A 25,830-nucleotide genomic window follows, 5' to 3' on the forward strand; every position below is an offset into this window, starting at 1 on the left:
CACCCAACCACGTGAACCTTCTTCCTTCATTCAAAAGAAGGTACAGCCTTTGGAGTTAGACAGAGCTGGGTTTTTCTTGACTTCACTGATATCTGTGTTTCAATTTAGAAAGCCTAATTTCCTCATTTATAAAATAGATGTAATAGTATATACCTCACAGGGTTGGTTGGTACACGTATTAAGATCACGTACAGTTACATACTTAGCACAGTGCCTAGCATAGTAAGCACTTAATAAGTGGTAACTCTTATTTACACAGTGCTTCTCCAAGCACCTGGTACATGACTCTATCAAATGCAGTTGGCTGGGTCCCTCTCCCAAAAAGTCTAATTCTATCAGTCTGCGGTGAGGTCCAAGGATGTGCATTTCTAATAAGCTCCCAGGTGATCCTGAAGCTGCCTGTCCACAGACCACACTTTAAATAGCAAGGATTTAAAAGATCATCCAGCTTTTTCATACACATTCTTATTACTTTTGTGTCATCAAAAGACTTGGGAGCAGTATGCTGCTGGATGCTGTGCAAGGAAATTACAAAGGGGCTTATAATATAAAACAGATATTTCAATAAAAGCCATCTACTCTAAAATGAATTAAATCTTGAGGAAGATTAAGTACTTATGTACCCACAAGAAGGAATGCATTTTGGGGTTGGTGAATGAATTGATAATAGCTTGCATATTGGAAGGTTTTTTACCAAAAAAAAAAAAACTTATCATTTTAGGTATTACAGACCTCTAGAACCAGTTCCTTTCTCCTTCTCAATCTTTCTTAAAGAAGTAATTGAGATTAGGAAAGAGAGAAAAAGCAAATAGTATGTTTTAAATACCCTGTATCAGAAGAAATTATTTAAAACTTACAAAAACCAAACATCTAAAGAAAACCAAAAACTCAACTACAGTGGAGCCAAATGAGTTCTTCAAGCTCTACCTTAAATTGTAATGAATCACTTTAAAAAAATAAAAAATAGAAGAGAGAAAAGAGAAAATTTCCAGGAATATTAGCCTGATGTCTAGTTCTGTAGTGGACATAAATACCATTTGAATAGTAGTGGATGATTCTGAAATTAAGATCCATTTACAATTTTAGAAATAATTATATGATAACACATAGCTGTCAGTATTTATAAAACATCTTGTTATTTAGTTGCCATAACATCACAGAAGAATGCTGTGGCCTTGATACATTCACTAGACTCTTTAAGAGGAAGGGAAATAAAGCTTACAGTAATTATGTAAGTTATTTCCTGAGTTAATTCCTCAAAAGGATATACTACACTTGATGGTCATCTTTTCTACCAGGCTTCATCCAAAGTAATTTATTTGGAAACCACTTGCAGGGATAGGGCTGTGGGGCACCATTTCAATAACTGGATGCATAATTTGTGCCATCGCATGCATATATCATTTCATCGAGCACGTGATTATGAAGTCAACTTTGACAGGACAGAATTTCACTGCAAGAGAAGTGGATAAAGGCATGGAGTTAATGTACTTAGGCTTTCAGCACACTGGCTCTGCTTTATTGACATTTTACCCACACTAATAATGTTGGCATGTGTCTGATCTCTTCACTGTTGGCACAGCGTGGATGTTCACGCTGGGCATTAAGCTTTTTAGTTGATAAAAGAAGATCCCACAATTGGAATCTCCGTAGCAGGTGTCCATGGTTCGACACTTGATTGTCTTAAGCAAGTATGTTCTTTGCAATGCAAAGCAAACCTACAAGCTATATTACCTTTTGTTTTATGCAGAGATGCAGTTTCCTTTAATGTTACAATGGTAGAAAATAAGAAGTAGCTGAAGTATTGAATCCAAGTTAAAACACACAACAATGTGTACTTATAAAGGACGGAATGAAACTAGCAATGTAAAGCCCAGTTAGGTGATACAACAACCATTGGTGCCTGTTTTTTTTTCCCCATCAACTCTTTCAGCAAAATGTGATGGTTGTGTTTGGCTGCATTTTCATTCCTCTCCTCAACTCTTATATTCACATGAAATTAATGAACATTCCAACTCTGAATAATGTGAAGAGACCAGGGGGTGGAAAACTGCTTAGCCACATAGACAGAGCTCATTTATGTTTGGGCTTTGAAACACTTACTTGAATTCTGATTTGTGGATATTTCTTCTTGGCAGTCAGTTTATATTTAATTTTTGTGCCCGATGTGATTTGAAAGTGATTGGTAGCAATGAAATGACTTTCAAAGGTGGACAGGAAAGGGTGGAAGGGAAGAAACGTAGGGTCTGCTAATCCAGCAGTCAAATCATTGACCCATGAGTGATTAAAAGTTGGCTGAGGTTGTGGAAACAAGACTGCCCCTCATGTGATGGCAGCTTCAAGTCTCCTTTGTAGTTTTTGGATGTGAGGCAATGAGCCAAGTGTTCTGTCTAAACTGTTTGGGAACTGCTTTTAAGTTCGGCACTCTTGGAGAGGTATTATGTGACAAGTTATTGCTTCAGTGCCCTCAAATGGCACCATGGCCTCAACGAATTAGAGCTTAAGCTGGAGCTGTGGGACTTAAGGAAGGAAGTGGTTCTAAACTGCTTTTCTGCCTCTAGCCATTTCTATATCAACATATTCCCTTTAACAACATCTCTCTGTTAGAAAGGGCAGTTTGAAAAAGCTCCTCTTCCCCTTCTCTGTTGTCTTCTTGCCCAACATACACATGTTGTGGGTTTTTAGTGAGGGATTCAATGGATGTAAGTTAAGTATATAATGACACAGCCATTTCTTCTTGTCCAAGTCTAGTCTTAAGCCATAAACTTGTGAAATGAGCTGATTGTGGTTGTTCAGTGGATTGTAGAATCTCCATAAAGTGCACCATCCTTTCTCTATTGAGGACCCATTCCAGTGGGAAAATATTCATGTAAAAAGCTACCATCTTCATCCTTGTCACTGTGAGCCAAAGTTGCCAGATCCAACCTGGTTCCTCATTGAAGTGCCACGCTCCTCTATTTCGAGAGGGAACCTTTATAGATCATATACAGATGTTCTAAAAAGAGAGAGAGAATAGGCTTCATGTCCAGGTAAACTTTGAAAATCACTGCCTCCCAGTTAACCCCATTATGGAAATTGATAAAACACATTTGCATATTCTGAAGATCTGAGATGTCCTCTATTAAAGAGTTCTACTCATCTGTGTTTGATTCAGCCTTTCCCAAATTTTTTGACCATGGGAGACCTGAGAATGCTGCCTAATAATTTTCATTTTTCTGTCTTTCAAGGGTTCAGGAACATATAGCAGGTGATTTTCCTGTTTATTGCTTTTCTCTAGGGAATATTGCAAAGTGTTAGCCATTTACCTATCACAATCCAAAATTGTGTTTCTGAACCCTTTAGCTTTAGAATCCTGCTGGCATTTTAGAAAGAGCCTCAGACACACTGATAAAATACGTTTTTAAAAAATCAGAGTTCTAATATATTGTTATAAGAAGACTGAACTAGTTACTTTTATGTTTAGAAGGGCACATTTTCTCTCAATGGGAAGAGGTACAGAGAAGGTCAAATTATAACCACCAGTTTGTCTGGTAAACATGAGATTAAAGCAAAGAGAGTTGATTTGTGTGTTCTGAATAGCCATCAAACTTTAGTTACCATAACGTTTGTTACCATTTGTCCCCATTGAAGGAGAGAAATATCCCAGTAACTGGACATGATTGCCCCTAAGAAAATTTTAGAGATATTTTTCCTCTCTGTTTGCCTCGCTCACTTGCAATATTTTACTCTTTTTTTATTTTTTTCAGTGAAATAATAGATGAACATCATTTTTTAAAGTTCTATACAAAAAGGACTTGCCCCGTCTTTCACTTTCCACTATGTAGGTTTCATCTTTACAGAAAATGTCTTCTGTATCTTTGGGATATTTATTTGGGTAGTCAAGTCTATGCTATATACCTGCATAAGTGATGTGTTTATTTATTTGAGACAGAGTCTCCCTCTGTCATCCAGGCTGGAGTGCAGTGGCATGATCTAGGCTCACTGCAACCTCTGCTTCCTGGGTTCAAGGGATTCTCCTGCCTCAGCCCCCTGAGTAGTGGGACTACAGGTACACCACCATACCCGGCTAATTTTTGTATTTTTAGTAGAGACGGGGTTTCACCATGTTGGCCAGACTGGTCTGAACTCCTGACCTCAGGTGATCTGCCCACCTCAGCCTCTCAAAGTGCTGGGATTACAGGCATGAACCGCTGCACCCACTTATTTCTTAATATGTTAATTTTATACATTATTAATGTCTCTTTATTCTTGAAAGGGAATCTGTTTGTTTTCTTTCCCTTCATACTTCATATCTTTCAGGATTCCATTGCAGGAAACAGAATAATTCTAGCTATTTCAAGCAGGAAGAGATTTTAAACTGCAAATTCGGAGCTTTGGAAATCACTGGAAGGACTGAAAGAGCAGGATCTAGGCTGGGATTTCAGGCATAACTCCCTGAACTGGATAAGATTAGTGGGCAGTCTTTTTATTGAAGCATAATTTACCTACAATGTAAATTCAGTTTTTTATGTGAATAATTCAGTGAGTTTTGACAAATCTGTGTTGCTGTATAGCCACACGCCATTACTTTCAACATATAAAACAATTCTATCACCCTCAAAAATTCCCCATGCCTCTTTTCCTCACTCCTCCCCAGCCCCTGGCAACCACTGATCTGTTTCTTTACGTATAATTTTGCCTTTTCTAGAATATTGTATAAATTGAATCATGCAGTATGTAGTCTTTTGTATCTGGCTTCTTTCACTTAGCATAATGTTTTTTAAATTCATTTATATCATGGTATGTATTAGTAGTTATTACTGGGTAGTTTGTTGTATGGATATACAGTCATCCATTTTCAATCTGTGATTGAATTCACACATGCAGAATCCACAGATACAGAGGGCCGACTGTACCATAATTTGTTTACACATTTACCAGTTGATGGACACTTGAGTTGTTTACAGTTTTGGGGAATTATGAACATTCATATGAAGTTTTTCGTGTGAACATATGTCTTCATTTATCTTGTTTAAATAGGTAGGAGGAGGATTGTTGAGTTTTATGGTGAGTGTGTGTGTAACTTTATAGGAACTGTCAAACTGTTTTCCAGAGCCTCGTATCATTTTGCACTCCTATCAGCAGTATAAGAGAGCCCTAGCTCCTCCACGTCTTCAATACTCTACTGTCAGTCTTGTAGGTAGAGTCTTAACCTGGTTTTCCTGATCCCCAGTGGGTTCTCCCTTCCAGATTTGCTATTACATAGCCAGCCCCAATTCTGTTTCTCTGTGGTAAAACAATGATTTATATATATATGTATATATATATATCTGCAAATTGGTGACATCCAGGATGCAGACCAGCTCTAGTGCCCAGCTGAACTTGCTAATGGATACAAAAAACAGTGTCGATTGTGGTATTAACTAGACCCTCATTGGATTTGAAATATCGCACATAACAATGTTTTGTTCACTTTCAGGCTATTTGATCACTCCATGGAAGGATTCAAAAACTGGGAGTTCATGACCATTCATTGCTGGGGAGAAAGAGCTGCTGGTGACTGGGTCCTTGAAGTTTATGATACTCCCTCTCAGCTAAGGAACTTTAAGACTCCAGGTGAGAACTCCCTTTCTATACATTGTTCTACTGTGTAGAAGAAAATGATGGAGTATATTTTGGCCAGAGTGTTTCACACTCACATATTAGCATCTTTTCTCATGTGGTTCATTTCATGTGTGCTTTGAATTACCTGCATGTATTTCAGTTCTCAAGATTACCATTTGAGAGATAGTAATTTAAGGATAGGAAATAAAGAATACATATAGTATAGAACAAAACATGACAGCTTTTGATTGATGTTTCAGAATACATGATCCACATCTCTAACCAGCTTCCCAGACTTTCTATGTCTGTAAACAAGCCAGCCTGTCCACCGGCACTGAGTTCAATTGCATGATCTCACAAGAAGAGACAGGCTTCCTTAGTTATCTATTTCTTTTTAGTTTTCCCTAAATTTACTTTTCAGTTTAGGCAAGACATTGAGCTCGGCCCATGCCAGCTAATCTGGGTACCACCAAAGAAAATGATGATGATATTCTTCCCTGCATGAGCCCAAGAGCCAAGGAAAAAGAAACCCTTCTTGACATGTAAAACAGAAATTATGATGTTAACAAAGGTCTTTTCAGGTAGGCTCAGTCTGTTTCTGCACACAGCCTATTCCCGTCTTCATGCTAACCTGTAAAGCTTGTTTATAATATAAAATAAGGGAAAGTACAAGGCAACATGGGGTGAGAGACTGTGTTGCCCATTACAGAGCCCTACAGAGTGGCTCAGCAGTGAATGATCTGTTTGATAACTAATTAGCTTCCCACCCATCCATGAACACATCTTTAGCCATCAGATAAAGTCCTCCTTCTCAGTGCTCTGTCCAGTCCTCTTTAGAAGAACCAGGCTTGGGGGAAGTTTTAGGACTGACATCCAGTTCTAGCCCTCTCCAGATTACAGAATAAAGTAACCTAGACATTCTGTAATTGTGGGAGTGTGTAGCATTCAGATACAGCTAGCTGCACAGGGCAAAGGAGGCACACAGCAGAACACAGGGATAAAGGGCACGTTTGCCAGACTTTTGCCTGCCAATCTGAGAAAGTTACTCATTCTGAGAGATCCATTGTTGACTGTACATTTTGGTTATCCCTTCCCTAGTTCTGTAATGAGGTTCATCTTTGTTTGCCACAGTGGTCCCATAATCAGGGAGGTCAAAGCCAGAATGGTGGCCAGGTCACAATGAATCAGGATAAACGTTTTGTTAAAGAGTATCTGTGCCCAGCTCACCTCCAGAATGCAGCCTGAATATAGTGGTAACCAAGTTTTTATCAAGAAAGCAAATGTTTGTCAATAAGGCAGGATTGATAGAGAAAACATGCAGATTATAGCCCAGAGTTTCTAGACCCTTTCACCTCTTCATAATCTACATTAGTTCCCAGGATCTTCCTCTCTCCTTTCTTCCTCTTTGCAGCGCATGCTTATTGCCCTGCCATGAGGTTGCACAGGGTCATGGCACATAGGTGAAACGGAAGCATGGTGACTGGGCTGTGATCCATTAGCAGGCATCACTGCTGGACTCTTACAGGACAAGAGACCCCGGAGAAATAAACACTGTCAAATGTGGCAGTTGTGTACCAAGGAAGGTGCAGACATAAAGAGTATGTTTTTGAGCATTTTAAAGTTATAAAACTAACTAAACGTGACTCTGTTCTTTATTACCACCAGACACCAGAAATTCTACTCTCCATGATAAGCCCAGGCTGCTCCTAAGGGCTACTGGTTAACCATGCATTGCATCTAAGGGTCAGGGGTCACGAATATAAATCCCTCTGCCCTCAAGAAGTTCTGAGTCTATACAGAGCTTACTATGATTATGTGCACTTAAAACTCTACAGTAGCTCAGATAATCTAGAGTTACCTATTTCATAGCAGAGGCATCTCCTTATACTATTTAAATGTTCACATTTAACCCTAGTCACCTCCAGTCATTTTAGAGGTGTTGAGGTGTTCTTTTTACGCCAGACGAGAGATACCCTAATGCTATTACTGGCCTGGAGACTTTAATAGAAACATATAGTCTTTGTGTATCTTTACTTCAACCAACCTTTCATTTCAGGATTAGTTACACCTTTAGTAAGGGACTTTGAGTGTCCTGTTTATGGGTGGGGGGGTGTGTGTGTGTATGTGCATGTGTCTATATCATTGTTTCTGTGGTGTACAGTCCTATGATAGGTTTCTTCCTCTCTGATTAATAAGGGTTACATCAGTAAGCGAATAGAAATTCAGTTGGATCTGTAGAATTTTCTAGCCCAATTAAATGGTAGACTCATCCCCTAATATAGAACTTCCTGGCTCCAAACTGAATTTATATTTATTTATTGTCTCTTGTCATTTATTTATTATTACAATACATATTAAGAGCATTTGAGGGTGTTGTTTTGATTTTTGGCACATTGAACCTATATACGCAGATTGCATTTATGTGTTAGCAAGGAAGATGGATTTTTCTCCTTCTGTATTTACACAGCTATTTCATAATAACAGGTTTCAATATTAATTGCAAAATCATCTATAAAATTTAGCAAACAGAAAAAGGGGTAGAGGAGAAAAAAAAATGATGGCCCAAATATGGCAGTTATTTGAAGTGAATCATAGTAGAGGTTCTAAGGAAATAAAATTACATAATAAGTGAAATATAAAGAGATGAATTACACAGGAAGGATATCCCTAGTGGGCTTATGATGTCCTTCAGAAATGGCACAAAGGGAAATAATCAATTTTGAGACAGCACTCTTCAAAGCACTTAGAGGGTAAACTTTTGCATCCAAAATGATCTTAAATAAAATGAACTAAATTTTAAGGTGACTAATGATTAGGATGACCTATAGTGTCCTTGTATTATATGCTTCATTTGTACACTTGAGAGATGCCATAAGGAAAATGCGTTCTCTTTTGCACTGCTACCTAAAGGCAATCAGATAGGTCATCAATTTCCAGCAGTCATTCACTTCTTATCACTCCCTAATGCGTGTTACTTAGAATTCTGGGCCTGAATAATACCCTGATTGTGAAAAGCCTGGTCATTAACAAATGAGTCCAAAGAAAAGCTGGCAGAGGGCAAACCATACATAAACCGATTGTACTGGTCCAATGTAAAAGTCAGAAAAAAATGCATGCATCACAGAATGTGTTCATTTTTAAATGTCAGGCTCCTAAACTCCTAGAAATGAATAGGAGATAATTTTGTATATGGTTTAAAAACACAGGATTTGGAATTGGAGTATGTTTTAATACCAATCTGTCCTCTTATTGCCTTTGAGGAAGTTACCAACCTCTGTAGCTCTGTTTCCTCCTCTATATATTGGGACTGTTAGTACCCACCTTAGAGTTGTTTTGAACAGTGAATGAAATAAAACTTACAAATCACTTAGACTGGTGCTTAGCATATAGAAAGCACTTAAAAACATCAAACATCGATTTGTTGGTGATGGTAGGTGCTCATAGATGAAGGAAGCTGACAAGCTGAAATCCGTCACTTTCTGAGCTAGCCCCTGACCTTGTCTGGATTCTATGCATTCAGCCAAGGTGAGAGGGGTTCTGAGGGGCATTCTACCTTCCTACCAGCATATGCCTATGTTTGTAATGGTTTTGTCTTAATCACTTCTGCTTACGGTTGATTCCTTTTGAGATCAGTTTTACTAACTTTAATGAAATGGAGGCACGTTTCCTTTTTTTTTTTTTTTTTTTTTTTTTTTTTTTTTTTTACTTTTTGCATTGAACACAATTTTGTGAAGCTAAGAAATAAGTTAACAAATAAGAACTAAACTAAAGCAAAATGTTCCTTGTAAGTGATCCAGACTCATAGAAGGTGAAACACTTGCCTCAGGTCTCAAGGCGTTCCTGCCCAGAAAATGCTGTTTTGGGCCAAGTGTGGTGGCTCACGTCTGTAATCCCAGCACTTAGGGAGGCTAAGGCGGGTGGATCACCTGAGGTCAGGAGTTCAAGACCAGCCTGACCAACATGGTGAAACCCTGTCTCTACTAAAAAATACAAAAATTAGCTGAGTGTGGTGGGGGCCACCTGTAATCCCAGCTACTTGGGAGGATAAGGCAGGAGAATTGCTTGAACCAGGGAGTCAGGGGTTGCAGTGAGCCTAGATCATGCCATTGCACTCCAGCCTGGGTGACAGAACGAAATCAAAAAAAAAGAAAGAAAATGCTGTTTTGCACATAGACCCATAGAACATTCTGCAATGATGGAAATGCTGTCCAGTAGGATGGCCACTAGCCACATATGGCTCTTGAGCACTGGAAATATGGTTAGTGTGATGGAGAAGCTGAATCTCAAAATTTTTGTTAATTTTAGTTCATTTAAGTTTAAATAATCAAATGTTTAATGGCTATCACATTGGACAGCACAGGTCTATAGGACAGTATAATTAGTGATGTTTTCTTAATATTGAATGACCGATACCAGGAATTAGGGAGAACAAAGAGTTGTTCTGTCTACTTATTAACAAGTCAGATAATGCCAAAAAAAAATTTTTTTTTTTTTTTGAGATGGAGTGTTGCCCTGTTGCCCAGGCTGGAGTGCAGTGGCGTGATCTCCGCTCTCTGCAACCTCCGCCTCCCAGGTTCAAGGGATTCTTCTGCCTCAGCCCCCCAAGTAGCTGGGACTACAGGCACGTGCCACTGCGCCCAGCTAATTTTTTTTTTGTATTTTTAGTAGAGACGGAGTTTCACCGTGTTAGCCAGGGTGGTCTCAATCTCCTGACCTCGTGATCCACCAGTCTCAGCCTCCCAAGGTGCTGGGATTACAGGCATGAGCCACCGCACCGGGCCATATAAGACTTTTTATACCTAGAAAAACAAAGCCTTCTATTAAGTCCTGGGATTCTCTTAAATATTTCTAATTTGAAATTCAGCCCTTGATCCAGCAATCTGAAGTGTGTTTGTTTCTCAGTCTTCCTATAAATGCTGATTAAATCAAGGCCTCTCTGGTAGTACATGCTCAGTCAATATGTGGTATGTGAATTATTAAATAATTCTGCAGATGACGAGAAATACGCATTTCTAGCTCTGCGTTTGATGTAGTGATTGATATCCATCTGCCTCCCACAGTTCTGTTGCTTTTTCTTGAGTGAGAAGGACTTAAAGATGTTACAGAGCTAAAGAGGGAAAATTTGGTCATGCTGTGATTTCATTATTATTTCTCAAGGTAAATTGAAAGAATGGTCTTTGGTCCTCTACGGCACCTCCGTGCAGCCATATTCACCAACCAATGAATTTCCGAAAGTGGAACGGTTCCGCTATAGCCGAGTTGAAGACCCCACAGACGACTATGGCACAGAGGATTATGCAGGTGAGCTGGCTTCCAGTGGGACACAGGCTAAAAAGAGGCAGCTCATGCATCATCCCACCACATGGGAGAACAGAATGGAATGGAATGGAATGAAATGGAATGGAATGAAATGGAATGGAATGGAATGGAATGGAATGGAATGGAATCGAATCGAATCGAATCGAATAGAATAGAATAGAATAGAACAGAACAGAATAGAATAGAACAGAACAATCTACTACCCATATTCTGACATATTTTCTTCCCCTTAAATATTTGTGTGTGTATATCAGTGCACTCATATATTCAAATATCCATATGTGTTATCTGCAAAGCTAATAGTCCATATTGCGATTGTACCATAATATAGTTAATCTGTAATCTGGGACATATTGTTCGCTTACAGAATTTTACACTATTTTAAACACGGTTTGGATAAACATCATTATTTATCAATCTTTGTCTATATCTTCATTATTTCTTTAGAATAGAGTTCTGTTTTGAGACTTACTGCATCAAAGAGGATAATCAGCTTTAGGGCTTGGAAACATTTTGTCACTTGCTATCCAGACAAGATGTACCAGTCTTCACTGTGACCAGCTATGTGATTGTTTATTACACTCATTCCTGCCAACAGAAAAAAATAAAGAGAAAAAAAAGTAAAAAAAAGAAAGAGGTGAACGTTTTAAAAGTGTTATAGCTTTGATTGCCTGTAAATCTAAACATTTCTTCCTCTGTAGTTCTCTGAATTAAATACAACTGTCTTATCCATTTTTCTATTCGAAGTACAGTAATCCTCTTATCTCCTTGTGAACACTCTGTATGTTATTGTCTCTCACATTGTTTCGTCTTTGCTGAAAACATATTCTCACTTATCACTGTTAAGTTTTGTTTTGGTTTGTGTTGTTTTGACAAAAAAAAAAACTATTAGAGGCTGGGGTTTATGGTCTCAGATATAACACTGATATTTTGCAGAAGTTTTATCCTTTAATGTCTACTGAATATTCACATGCTTTGCTTGGTAATCTCTTATTTTTTACATTTGGCCATTAATTCATCTGGAACTCATTTTGGTTTATGATATACAGTGTCAATTGAAGCTCTGTCTTTAGTTATTTTCCAAACAGACTAACATCATTGGCCAAGTAACTATCCCTTCTTTTTTTATTAGTTTAGGATGCTTCCTTTGTAACAATATAGTAAGTTCTTATACCAGCATCTTTTCTGGTTCCGCCTTTTCTGATTCATCAATCTAATAATTCTCAAACCAATACCACCCACACTGTTTTGTTTTCATTTCATGATGTTATTTTTATATTTGTAGAACATCTGCTTCCCATTTCCATAGCAATTATTGCCTTATTATTCTTCCAGATGAATTTTAGAATGATTTTTAAGTCTCCCTTTAAAAGTCTCATTGGAATTTAATTTGAATTTATATGCAGTCTTATGGGAAGAATTGTTTTTGCAACATACAATCTTTCCATTTAAAACATAGATCATGTCCCACTTTACTGCAATCTTTTAATTTTATGTAGTTTTCTTCTTGTTAGCGTTACACCTAAGTATTTTTGGGCCTTGGTGCTCTTATAGTGGAAAATATTCCATGCTTTCTAACTAGTGTATGCTGGTGTGTAGGAAATCTATTGGTTGTATTTATTTTATATGGCCACTTTGCTTAACTCTCTCATTAATTTATATAGTTTAGAGTTGATTTTCTGGGATGGTTTAGGTATTACAGCCTTATCGTCTACAAATTGGTTTTGTTGTCCTTCTTGTCATTATTTCTGACTACTGTCTTGTTGCATTGGCTAGCACTCCTAGGAGCATTCAATCCTTCTAAGATATGACATGTAACGCATAATGGACAAAGCTTCTCCTAATGAAGAACTGTTTATAGGCCAGGTGCGGTGGCCCACGCCTGTAATCCCAGCACTTTGGGAGGCCGAGGAGGGTGGATTGCCTGAGCTCAGGAGTTTGAGACTAGCCTGGGCAACATGGTGAAACCCCATCTCTACTAAAAATACAAAAAGAAATTAGCCGGGTGTGGTGGCACGCACCTGTAATCCCAGCTACTGGAGAGGCTGAGGCACAAGAATCACTTGAACTCAGGAGGCGGAGGTTGTAGTGAGCCGGGATCGTGCCACTTCACTCCAGCCTGGGAACAGAGTGAGACTCAGTCTCAAAAAAAAAGAAAAGAAAAGAAAAAAAAGAACTATAAATACAAGTTTAATGTATCTTTAGATGAGAAATATTTTTTCTTGCAGTTCTGAGGTTTTCCTCTAAATACTAAAAATAAAAGTACTTCATTAACCACCTGAACAGAGTATCTTAAATACACATGTAGTTACTTTTATTCTAAACAGATAGCATCCTAGAATCAATAAACATGCTTGAAATTAAGACCAATTGAGCTTATCAGAGCTGGATTGTATTAGATTTTGTGATGTTTTGCTTTGAGCCTATAGCATTGCTATTTATATTTTAACTAGCAAACTATTTTGTCTTCTCGGATAGGAGAAAGTAGATCCAAAAAACATAAATAGAGTATAATAGTAAGCTGTTACTCTTTATTCATATTTTGGTAATGTTTCCCATTCAAATTTTGGAATGTTGAGATTCAGAACAGTTATATATCTTTGTGGTTTTTCTGATTATATCTCTAAAACATCAATATTGGCACTTGTGAGAGAACCAAGACTATTATTGCATTATTATCCTGCAACCTACAATGCTAAACTTCATCTGGGACAGTTTAAGATGATAAAAGAAACAGCATAGTATGTGAATTTGCCATACAGTGAGAGCCCTTTTGGCAAATATCAAGAATAAATGTTTGGGATTTTTTTTTTTTTAATTCTAGAAGTCATCTGGTGAAAATTTAGGGCCACCCATGACTCCTTTCCTTTGGAGCTGCAATTTTCACCTTCATTTAGAAGTCAGCCAGATTAGAGACACAGATGGCGTTATCATAACCAGATTCCCGTACTGTGTCATTGGATCCAAGGGACTGTGAGATCACAGCTGGCTGAACTTCAGTCCATAGACAGCAGAGACACCACTCCCCTGGTGTACGATGGCAGATGGCTAAAATGTCCCAAGTTGCAGTAGCTATGGAATTTGGAGATCGATTTGAAGCTTTGGGGAAAATAGAAATAAGCAGTGCTGTCAAATGACTCTTGCAGTTAATCAGAAGTATATTCGAGTCTGCAGCATTTTGAAATGACTTATTTCCATTCAGATGGAGAAGTCATCCCTAGTACGTGATTTGCTACATCTAAGCAGGAATTTTTACCTAAGTATCAGGGCCTATGTTGATCCCCTCTCCTCACCATGTGATACTGGGCAAGCCACTGAAATTCTTGGAAAATCAGTTTCTTCATCAGTAAAATGAGGGTATTTGACTACCAGATTTTTCTCTAAGTCATTCCACCCGAGTTCTAACATTTTTTTATGTTTCTGTGATTCAGTTAATTATGAAACATAGTCCCATAATGACTCAAAGAAACCAAGGTGTAACAGTAAGTCCTTTGGGTTACAATAAGTAGATTTTCTACTACCCTTGACTTACTATTTGTACATTTCATTCAATATATTTATTGCTAGTTAAAATCATATGAATTTTCAGTGGGAAAGAGTTTGCAGATTATGAGACCAAATGTTCCAGAATATGGAGAACAAAGAAGAGAATTAAAAACTTCTATAACTAGCCCATGTCATTAGAAAGTTTTTCATCAATCACAAAATAGCTCCATCTTTCTGGCATTTTTTTTTCTTACTGTTCATTATCTTCAGTTCTATACCAAAGAATATGTAGTAAGAGAGATTGGGAACTTTCATCCCAGGTCTGGAATCCTTTAAGCTTGCTTGCGTTTTTTTTAAATTTATATGTCATTTTCTTTTGTTGAATTGCCCATTGGCCTTTGTGTAGGATGCAATTTTAAATCTATTATCTGTGTCTGAGACTGGATGCTGATAAGCTTGTGCCAGGTGCTGTAATGGTGTTTCTTCCTGGCCACAGTATTTCAGAGGTATTCAGTAGCTTTAATGAGACAGGTCATTTGGTCCAGGCGTTAAATAATAATGCTTTTTTCTTTTTTGTCAACAACTTCTCTCTTTTCTACAAATCCAATCTTTTTACTATTACACATACTTAATTGCAGTTGGTTTTTTTCCAGTTGCTACAGTTCATTTGAATTCTCAAATATTTATCTACCACAAGGCAGCCATATATGCTTTGAAGACCAGGCCATGACTAGAATTTACATTCTTTATACCTAGGTAATTGAGGTTGCCTAGGAATCAAAAGTCAAAAAAAGTCAAGAGCTCATCTCTGGACCTAAAGCCACATTGACAATTATTCCTCTGTCTTAAAGAAACTCTCTGCATAAGAAAAAAAAAAGTCTTATTTTTATACCAAATTCAAGGTAAAGCTGACCTGCTCTAAAATCATTTTTCCAAGTATTGTTCTAATGTCTTTTGGAAAGGTCCCTGCGACCCTGAGTGCAGTGAGGTTGGCTGTGACGGGCCAGGACCAGACCACTGCAATGACTGTTTGCACTACTACTACAAGCTGAAAAACAATACCAGGTAAGAGAGGTGCCAAGTCACATCCCCACAGCATGTGCCAGGCATCTTAGGAGTTCCTGCAAGGCTAATACCATGGGGTGTGTGCAGGCCACTGGCATCTTCCACTATTCTCCCACCAGGACCGAAACATAGAAAAGAGGCTGCTGTGCAGGCCGACTGCCTCCCTGTGTTATTCAGAATGGTGAAAACTATATTGAGTTACAAAACGCAAAATGTGCATGTATGCTGTGAAACTGCAAATGTCTTCTCTCACGTTTGGAGGACGGTGGAGGAACCAGCTAAGCACCTGCCCCTCCAGACCTTTCTTTTTTTTTTTTTTAATTGACAAGTAAAAACTGCATGTATTTATAATGCATAACATGATGTTTATATATATATGTGTGTGTGTGTATATATATATATATATACACACACACACATATACATACGTACACACGTTTTGGAACAACTAAATCCAGCTATTTAACATATGCATTAGCTCACATACTTATCTTTTTTTGTGGCCAGAACACTTAAACACTACTCTCGTCACAATTTTCAAGTACACAATAAATTGTTATTAACTCTAGTCATCATGAGGTACAATAGATTTCTTGAACTTATTCCTCCCATCTCACACAAGTTTCATGTCCTTTCCACCCCACTGATGTTTGATTTCATGGCTTCACAAAGATGCCAATGCACAGGCCAAACTGATGCTTTTCCACATTTTCCAGCACATAGGCCATCAGTGTGGCAAAGGGGTTGGTCCTGCTTGATCTCACTCTTCTGCCCTGGGCACTAAGGTGGACCCTGTGCCTCTGAGCCCCTGGTGTCTGCTTGAGCTGTGCAGATATGTTTCCTGGGCAGAGCCAAGGAATGGTGACTGCCCCCATCAGAGTTCATCCTGACCTCCCCTTGTCTCCCACAGCCCCACCCACCTTCTCCCTCCTCCTTCAGGCGAAAACTCACTAAGCATAGCTGCCACACGGTTCCTCCATACTCCAGTCCCCCAGACAGACCCAGACGTGTTAAGAATTCCTGCTGTAAGTCTGCTGGAATTTAAATTCCTTAAGAGAAAGGAGGACTTTGGCTATCTCCCAGCCTCTGTTATCTCCTGCACTTAGCAACATGCCTGATATTTAATTGGTGCTCAGTAAATATTTGTTGAATGGATAAATAAAGCTCTGTGCTTCCATTATGGGCAAACAAGGAAGTTTTTTTTTTTTTTTAAGTGTTCTCATATACAACATAAATTTAAATATATTTATATTAATTTAGACAACAGCATACAACCACCACCACCACTCACACATGCACATACAGGATCCATATGACAAACAACACACGAAAATAGAAGTCACACCTTTTTAAAGGGACCTTTTTGAATAGAGTTGTGGTTCCCACATAGTTTTCCTCTGATTCACCACCATAACCTTCCTCTCTGTAACCATCATCATTTTTCAAGAGCTAGGTGCAAACCAGGAAATGGTTTGACAAGTCCTTGGTAGATTTGGTGTTGGGTAACTGCATTGCTACTTCAGCACACTGTGCAGGAGGAAGTTTAACAAACAATCTGGCTCTCTGGATGTGGTGTTGGCATCCTGGTTTAAAAGTGATTTGGAAGCTGAGCTCAGCCATTTGCTCAGCACCTCCAAGAGAATGCTGGGGACTGGTTTGCTCATGACGCTGCCTTCTTTCTTATTGTTTCACAATGCAGGATCTGTGTCTCCAGCTGCCCCCCTGGCCACTACCACGCCGACAAGAAGCGCTGCAGGAAGTGTGCCCCCAACTGTGAGTCCTGCTTTGGGAGCCATGGTGACCAATGCATGTCCTGCAAATATGGATACTTTCTGAATGAAGAAACCAACAGCTGTGTTACTCACTGCCCTGATGGGTCATATCAGGATACCAGTAAGCTCACTTCAAATACTTGGGTTTTAGAGAAGAAATGTGGTGTTTTCATTTGAGTGACCTCAGGAGGGATAGCCTCTTTGTGAAATCTGGAATTGTGCTTCATATCAAACAGGATCTAGTTCATTCATTTTAAGAGAACCCTTTAGAAGCTTCATGTAAAAATGCTTATAACTTTGTCAGAGTATCCTCAAGACCACCCCCAGATTCAGTGATTTGCTGGGAGTATTCACAAGGCCTGGGGTATAGTCGTGCTCATGAACTCACAGATAGGAGATATTACAGCAACAAATCATCAAAGGGAAAAGGCATATGGAACAAGGTTCAGCCACACAGGGCATATTCACTTCCCCGTGCAACAATGCGTGACGACGTGCATGAAATGTTGTCTACCAGGGAACCTCATTAGAGACTCAGGGCCCAGGGTTGTCACTGGGGGCTGGTCAGACCTGACACATACCAAAATTCCAGAGTCTTCAAAGGAAAATAGGTGTTCACCATAAACCATATTGTTTATACAAACAGTTTAGACAAAGTGAGCCACTCTTTTCAGGGTAGTGGGAACCCTCCCAAAATTCAAGTTCCCAGATGTGCCAGCCATGGGCCAACCTTACAAGCAGATTTGCTAAGGACAACATTCAGGCTGCTCTTTTCTGCATACTGACCAAATAGACACCAGGCCTGTATGATATCAAAATATACTTTTTAAAAAGTTCAAAAAATATGACTGTCTTTTAAGAGTAGAATGAACATTTGTCAATGACTTATTTAACCCACTAATGAGGGAACTTGCAAGGTGACAAATAGGGCTAAAAGATGATCAGGTACTGTAGTCCACCAGGAAAGGCAAAATGGAAATCCTTTTGCTAAGTTGGAGACAAAATTGAATAATTTAATAATTTTCTACATGGCAATACAAGTAGAATTTGGGGGAGTGTTTTTTTTTTCTAATGAATAGGAGTAATTTGCAACTTTACCAAACAAAAATGTGTACCTTAACACAGAGTTTGGGCCCTAATCAGCCATCATTAGCAAACAGACGAAGGTATATTGCCCTAGAGAATTAAATAGTCTTAAGGTAGACCTATTAGACAGTGCTCTAGTGTGGCTCTGAAAAGGACTGCAGTTATCTTTTCCTTTATTTCTGAGTTCTGGATAATTTCTCTTAACAAGGACCTCATACCATGGTATATGATGGCACTGAAATTTCATGTTTTTGCACAACCTAAGGAGACAAAGAGAAAACTCAAGTTTAAAAGAACAAGAGTTATTTAAAATAAAATCAGACAAGAAATCTGAAGTGAATACTCTTGCTTCTTAAGAAGTGAAATTCTCTCTGGTTTCAAAGAGGAGCATTTCTCTGTGAGGCAGAGAGGGTCTTTCAACTTACCCTTTAGGGCAGTGGGTAAGGACTCTGCCTTTCTTGCTTGCCCCAAAATTTAGAACATGAAATTTGACTTGAGGGAGAAAGGAGAAATTGGGAGACAGAAGGGGGCATAAAGAATCCACAGAAATATGCAGTATTCCTTGTGAGGAAAAAAGTCAAAATTCTATCAGGAAGGTTGAGCCTTGAAAAAGAAATTTGATTCTGGAATGTTGTATGACAGAACCAAGGTAATTGAGAGTCCGTTGTTTCCAGAGCCTAGAAGGTAGATAATTAAGGTGTTCAAACTATGACTTCAGCTACCAGGAAGTGTTGATCCAAGTGGTTTGTATATCTCTCTCTTTCTATGTAATTGCCTTATGTTATAGTTTTCCTCTCTAATGAGTCCATTTATGTACAACATGATGATCACATATGATAATGACTAGTAATAATTACTGCCAACACATTTACAGTGCTTAATAGTTCATATCGTTCCCTTGAATAATTAATTTTATTTAACTTCTCAAGACAACCAGAGAGGTGGGTAACATTGTAATCTCATTTTAATGAATAAAAGAACAGAGACCCTGAATTTGCCCACTGGAGGTGCTTAAAGCAGAATGCAAATCTAGGTCATCTGAGTTAAGATTCTATGCATGTGCAGTGTTCTCAATGAGACAGTGAGAGAGACCGTATGATGACTACTGTTAAGATTGTAAGGGGCTTCGTATTTCATGCTCAGAGGCTCAGACTTGATCCAGCAGGCCCTTGCAGGGATCCACTAAGCTGTGTTTCTCTATGGAACCCTGAAGAACATCAACATTTAAAGAGCAGATGGAAGCCCATGAAGAAAGCTTCATTCATTTCTACAAATTCACATGGATATAATCCACTTGCATATCAGAGCAGGTACCAAGACATTAGCAAAATTTTATCTAAGGTAGAAGGACTTTCTTAATATGCCAAATATTTTCCTCCACAGAACAACCATAAATTTGCCAACTTTTTTCAATATGGACCTGGTAGTAACTAGGAAAGCAAGTATTCACAGTATACTTGTTCAAATGATACATTTCTATTCTCCAGAATATAGATTTCTCCAGAATAGAGATATTATCTGAATTGTAATAACATTTATACCAATTCCACTGCAGCTGTAAAGTGCAAGACACTAAAATAGTGTTTAAAATAAACAATGTTAGAAATAAGCAATCCTTACCCTTGCAGTCTTAAATGTAGATTCCCTTCTCTAGTTCAGCTCAACTGACCAGTCCTAAAAGCTATGAGCATGGGGGTCTACATTCCCATTCCTTCGTCTCAGGCATTGCCTTTCAATCCCTATACAGTGATGTTGTCCCAGCTTCATGAGGGGGATTTGCACTGTTGCAAGTTAGGAAACCCTCCTGGGGAGAGAGACTAGGAAGAAGAAGAAAAAAAAAAGACCTATAAACTATTCAACTAAGAATTAGCTAGGCTATCATTTTCTTGTCTGCAAAATGGCAGAGAAGTCTAAGGTGTTTTCCAGTGTTACAGTTCCTGTCTGTACTTGGTTTGCTGAGAAATGATAACAAATAGTGATTCTGTGGCTTTTCCTGCAATTGTCTAGTCAAGGCCATAGGTACTGTAGCATACATTAGCAAGCATTAGAACATCTCTGATGCTTTTATGGAATCCAATTGACCAACTGATTTACAACTTTCTCTTTTTTTTAACAGAGAAAAATCTTTGCCGGAAATGCAGTGAAAACTGCAAGACATGTACTGAATTCCATAACTGTACAGAATGTAGGGATGGGTTAAGGTAAGAGAGTGAAGGATTTTATCAAGTAACACAGCCCAAAGAGCTTCTCAATGTAAATAAAATGAAAAAATGATAAACAAGTAAATAAACAGCTCTCTTATGATCTACCCTGGGTTTGACTCCCATTCAAGCACTTGATTGCTATTTGCATTATCTCTGCTATTATATGTGAAAAATGGGATGCTGTGTTGGCTAAAGAAGGGTTATATCCAAATAAATTCTCTTTAGAAAAGATGGCTCAGATAAAACTCAATAAAAATGGCCATTTGAGAGGCATTCTTTGTGCTTTTTAACCTGCATTGTGCCAGTCAAGGATTACTTTGCAGGTAATACCAATGAATTATATTTAATCCCCCGATTCATTCCTTGGATGGTCGGAAATTATTCCCTTATCTTTATTATTTCTCTCCACATAGCCAATCATTCTCTTATCTTAAGTATCTCAGGCTTGGTTCCATTATGCTATGGTATGCACATAGATTTAACACCAGGAGATGTTTTCCTTGAATGGATGACTTGCTCATTGCTAAAGCTCAATAGTTGGTCAACTCTCTAAGAGAACAATGTACAGCTCAAATTAACTAGGTAGCCTCTTGATCTCAGTAGGGAAGGTGAGACCATTCTGCATTTAGTGAAGAGTTGGACTGAGGCTGTACGTAGAATTAGAACTCTGCTGCACTGGATTTCTTTTAAGTATTGATCATATCTTTATTTCCACCTGTGATTGGAGGTAAACTAGGCAGGGTCCAGGCAGTTTCCAGGCAGGTACATTCTTCACCATTAACCAGTATTGGAGCATCATTTTCATTTAGATTAATTATCTATGGCTTCATTTCTTTTTCCCCCCATGAATGCATTCAGTATTAGCTTACTTGGCAATTTTCATCTCAAGACTTCAGTACTGAGAAAGAATTAGCCACCTAATTCTTCTTGGAGAAGGAGCAAAGCAGTATAATAGAAGGAAAGAAAGTAGATGTGGGCTCACATCCTCCTCTGCTATTTATTAACTGTGTGATTTGGGGCAAGTCACTTAACTACTCCGAGCCTTCATTTTCTCCTCTATAAAATGATGATAATAATAATCCCTGTTTTGCTGGATTATGATAAAGGTTAACTGTGATAACATTTACAAAATACCTATTCTACCATCTGGCACATACTTGGTTCATGAGAAATAAAAGATGATTTAAATTATTTTATTTCTTAGGGAACATTGTATAGAGTATGTTAAACCAGTGCATGCCGGTAGAAACATGAGAGCCATATATGTAATTTTAAATATGCCAGTAACCACATTAAGAGAAGTAAAAAGATACAGGGGAAATGAGTTTAATAAAATATTTTATTTCACCTAATATATCTAAAATATTATCATTTCAACAATATAAAAACTTATCAGATGTCTTTCATTCTTTTTCATTGTTGTACTGTCTTCAAAATCTGATATATATTTTACCCTTAGAACACATCTCAATTCAGACAAAATTGTTTTTATGAGAAATATTTGATCTTTATTTAGGTTTCACAGTTGAAAAAGAAAATTTTACATAGCCAAGTTGTTCCAAACGTACCCAAATTTTTGCCAGTAATGGAATCAAGTGCCAATTTTTCACATTTAGACTTAAATTAGTTAAAATTAAATTAAATAAAATGTAAAATTCTGTTTCTTAGCCATACTATAGCCACCTTTCGAGGTCTCAGTAGCCATGTGTGCCAGATTATGTTGTACAGCACAGGTCTAACCTGGCCAGTTTATCACAGAGAGAACAGAGGCGTTCACAATACCAAGTGCATTAGCCTCGCAGTACCTGTATTTTGGAAGCAGCAGAAAGCTTCAGGGTTGGTGACTGCTGTCTGTTACACGTCCCCCTTACCTCATTCCTTCTCCATACAGTGCAACCTCTGTGTCCTGCTGAACAGATGCCAACCTCACAAGGAAGTGCTGTCCTGTATTAGAAAAACTAGGCAGCTTTTTAACTTTGATAAGTGTTTCGGTGGTCCTTATTTCCTCTCAAATGGATCCATTTAAGGCAGTATCCTTTTTTCTAGTGCTACAGAAAGGGAAAGGGATTTTCTTTTGGCTTTTTAAATGACAGCGCTCTCTCTCTGGCCAGTGAGGAGATCTATGAATGAAGTCCACTTTCACTTATGCTGCCCTTAGTCTCCTTGAGGCCCCTTGCATTTTTCTAAGGGCTTCCAGGGTTGACCATTTTGCCTCAAGAGACTTGTAAATTTTTAAATAGTGGTGAAGAACAAACAGGGGAAAAAATATATCAGTGCACAAAATCCAGGAAGGAAATAAATTAAATGCTAATGGGGACTGTTCGGGTTTCTTTTTTCTTCAACTTTGTTTTTGTACTTTCCAAATTTTTTTAAGAGCATAGGGAAAAATAAATTTTAATTTTTTAAATTAGCATTATCCACATACAAAGCAGTCAATTAAGATGTCAATTTGGAGCAGTATAAAGAGTTTAAAACAATGGAAACCATTTAACCCTGTTTAGATACTGATCTTCTAGTTTCATTGATTTGGTAGCATAGGATTACATTTTCTCACTATGTTTCCAATCACACTAGTTATTCAGTGAATAATATTTTTTATATTAACTATTGTAATTTTTTTTTTTAAGAGACAGAGTCTTGCTCTGACAGCCAAGCTAGAGTGCAGTGGTGTGATCATAGCTCACTCAAACTCATGGGCTCAAGCAATCCTCTGGCCTCAGCCTCCCGAGTAGCTGGGACTGCAGGCAGGCACCACCATGCCTAGCAATTTTTTTTTAGCCTTTGTAGAGATGGCGTCTGACTGTGTTGCCCAGGCTAGTCTCAAACTCCTGGCTTCGAGTGATCCACCCACCTTGGCCTCCCGAAGTTCTGGGATTACAGGTGTGAGCCACCATGCCCAGCCAAATATAGTAAAAATTTTTTATTTGCTTTCAATTTTAAGAATTAGCCTGTAGACTGTGAAAAATATGATAGCTGACAGAAATTAGAAGGGAGAGAAAAATATGCATTTCTCATTTGACATTCTGACAACTCATTAAATACTATCTCATATTGCTAGGTAAATAGAAATTTAAATAGGTTATTTAATATAGTTTAGATAACTCCCAGAAACACTAAATAATAATATAACAACAAAGAAAAGTCAAGATGATTGGGGAAATAGCAGTACAGTTAGTTTTGATAAATTTTTCATTAGAGTGTTTAAAATGAATAAATCAAGAAATAGAGGCAAAAGTATTTTAAATCTTGTTGTTTTGATGAGAACCTATAGAAGACTAAAATCAGAAACACTTAAAATCAGAATGGCTACTCCGGAGAATTTGAGCTGTGGGTTGGACAGGATGGTCGTACACTTTTACTCAGTCATAATTCATTGTACCATGTGTTCCTACTGCATTTATAATCATGAAATAACTGTTGAATTTATTATGTAGTAAGTCTGGATATTAAGAAATTGTTGGGCTTATTGCTAGACAATGTGATTGTTTTGTCAATCAAATACTTTTTAAAACCTCTGGGTTGTAAGATGTTGCGCAAAGTAGGAGTGTGCCCATCAGTCTAACAAATTAAGGAGGCTGTCCCCGAAGCCTAGCAGCGTGTGTGTATGCTACAGATATCATTGTAGGCACAGAGAAGCATTATAAGCATTGAGAGGAGAAAAAAAAGGGTACACGGGCTATTTCCCCGGCTTTGAAGCTTTGCCAAATCCACTGGCCTCTGAGGGAAACTGTATCTGTTACATATGGAGTTTGGGGAGTCATTACGTTTTGGCCTCATCACAACAGTCTGTTTGAAGCTCCCTTTATACTTCTTCCAGCCTGCAGGGATCCCGGTGCTCTGTCTCCTGTGAAGATGGACGGTATTTCAACGGCCAGGACTGCCAGCCCTGCCACCGCTTCTGCGCCACTTGTGCTGGTACCTTCCCTAGTTCTTTTGTTTATTCTCCCGGTTCTGGTTTTGCTTTTCTTTCTGGTTTGGGCCATCACTCATGCAACCCACTTGATACTTTTAAAGTAATGCTGGAAAAGTTTATTTCTCGTTTGATAATTGTGTGTGTATTCTCATTGAAAGTCAAGCAGTCATCAGCATCCTATCCTCATTGAGAAACTTACATAGCCCAGTGATAGCTCCTCTTTCAAAAGACAGTGAATGTTTTTGTCAAGAGGTTCCATTTTAACTTTGAAGGCTTTTTTCCCAGGGAAATCAAGAAAAAGCATGAATATTAAATTATTATTCTTTGACGCCATTTTCTCAAACTGTTAAAGAAGAAGCCCATGACACCACCTCCTCTGAGGTTTTATTTCTCGTTTCCTGTGTTTGTCTTGCTTTTAAGGGGCAGGAGCTGATGGGTGCATTAACTGCACAGAGGGCTACTTCATGGAGGATGGGAGATGCGTGCAGAGCTGTAGTATCAGCTATTACTTTGACCACTCTTCAGAGAATGGATACAAATCCTGCAAAAAGTAAGTGGATCTGCCCCCTGGGCCCTAGCATTTAGACCTAAGTTCTTTTGATGACTATCTTCATAAGAAAATAAGAAAACTTAGAATTTGTAATGATAACACTAGGTTTAAACATGTACCTGTGGACACTGTTCTGAAGCTTTCACCCAGCTTATCATTGATATTTTTATTCCTTTGCCTCAGGGGCACCTTAAAACCTTTAATATTTCAATTTCAAGTACATGCTCCATACCCTTTAAAATCACAGTGTCTACCTGTGTCACCTAACCTAGCAATTGTTGTGAGGAAAGATTTTTGAGTAATCTTCAGAGGGATAATTAAATGTAAGACATTATGAGGTTGCTAGTAAACACACCTTCCCCTGTGCATGTGTGAATGGATTAAAAAATTGTACATTTTTCTCATAGATGTGATATCAGTTGTTTGACGTGCAATGGCCCAGGATTCAAGAACTGTACAAGCTGCCCTAGTGGGTATCTCTTAGACTTAGGAATGTGTCAAATGGGAGCCATTTGCAAGGATGGTGAGTACAACTGCCCATATCGATCTTATGAAGCAAAGTATGATCTTTCTACTTTCAGGACTAATATTTTTCCACTTAAAAAAGAAACTCACAGCATGCATCAGATATGACATGCTCAATATTTTGGTGGCATTCATTCATCTTGAACTTATGCCCTTAATGGATTTGTTTGAATTGCAAAAAGAAATAAATCAGCTACAGTGGCACTGGCCAATATGGCTCAAGTTAATTTTTTTAATTAATAAACTTTATTTTTTGAGAGCAGTTTTAGATTCATAAGCAAAATTGAGCAGAAAGTTCAGAAATTTCCCATATACCCCGTTTTCCCC

The 25,830-nt window shown here is 38.2% G+C and overlaps 1 protein-coding gene across 9 annotated transcripts in view; it reads left to right on the forward strand.

Annotated features, from left to right (window-relative positions):
* PCSK5 (proprotein convertase subtilisin/kexin type 5) overlaps window positions 1-25,830 on the forward strand; it is a 473,167-nt gene that overhangs the window by 274,437 nt on the left and 172,900 nt on the right. For 8 of the 9 annotated variants that reach the window (NR_120409.2, XM_047423454.1, NM_001372043.1 and 5 more), the window contains 8 exons: window positions 5,459-5,595; window positions 10,741-10,884; window positions 15,351-15,453; window positions 17,153-17,346; window positions 20,428-20,512; window positions 24,333-24,430; window positions 24,849-24,978; window positions 25,386-25,501. Coding sequence is in view for 8 of the 9 variants with exons in the window: in XM_047423454.1 (XP_047279410.1) it covers window positions 5,459-5,595; window positions 10,741-10,884; window positions 15,351-15,453; window positions 17,153-17,346; window positions 20,428-20,512; window positions 24,333-24,430; window positions 24,849-24,978; window positions 25,386-25,501 (1,007 nt within the window). In the remaining variant the exon portion in view is untranslated. Of the gene's footprint in view, window positions 1-5,458; window positions 5,596-10,740; window positions 10,885-15,350; window positions 15,454-17,152; window positions 17,347-20,427; window positions 20,513-24,332; window positions 24,431-24,848; window positions 24,979-25,385; window positions 25,502-25,830 lie in introns of those variants that run through there. The other variant, XM_047423456.1, reaches the window with a different exon arrangement.

Source organism: Homo sapiens, chromosome 9, assembly GCF_000001405.40.
Source record: "Homo sapiens chromosome 9, GRCh38.p14 Primary Assembly".
Lineage (NCBI taxonomy): Eukaryota > Metazoa > Chordata > Mammalia > Primates > Hominidae > Homo > Homo sapiens.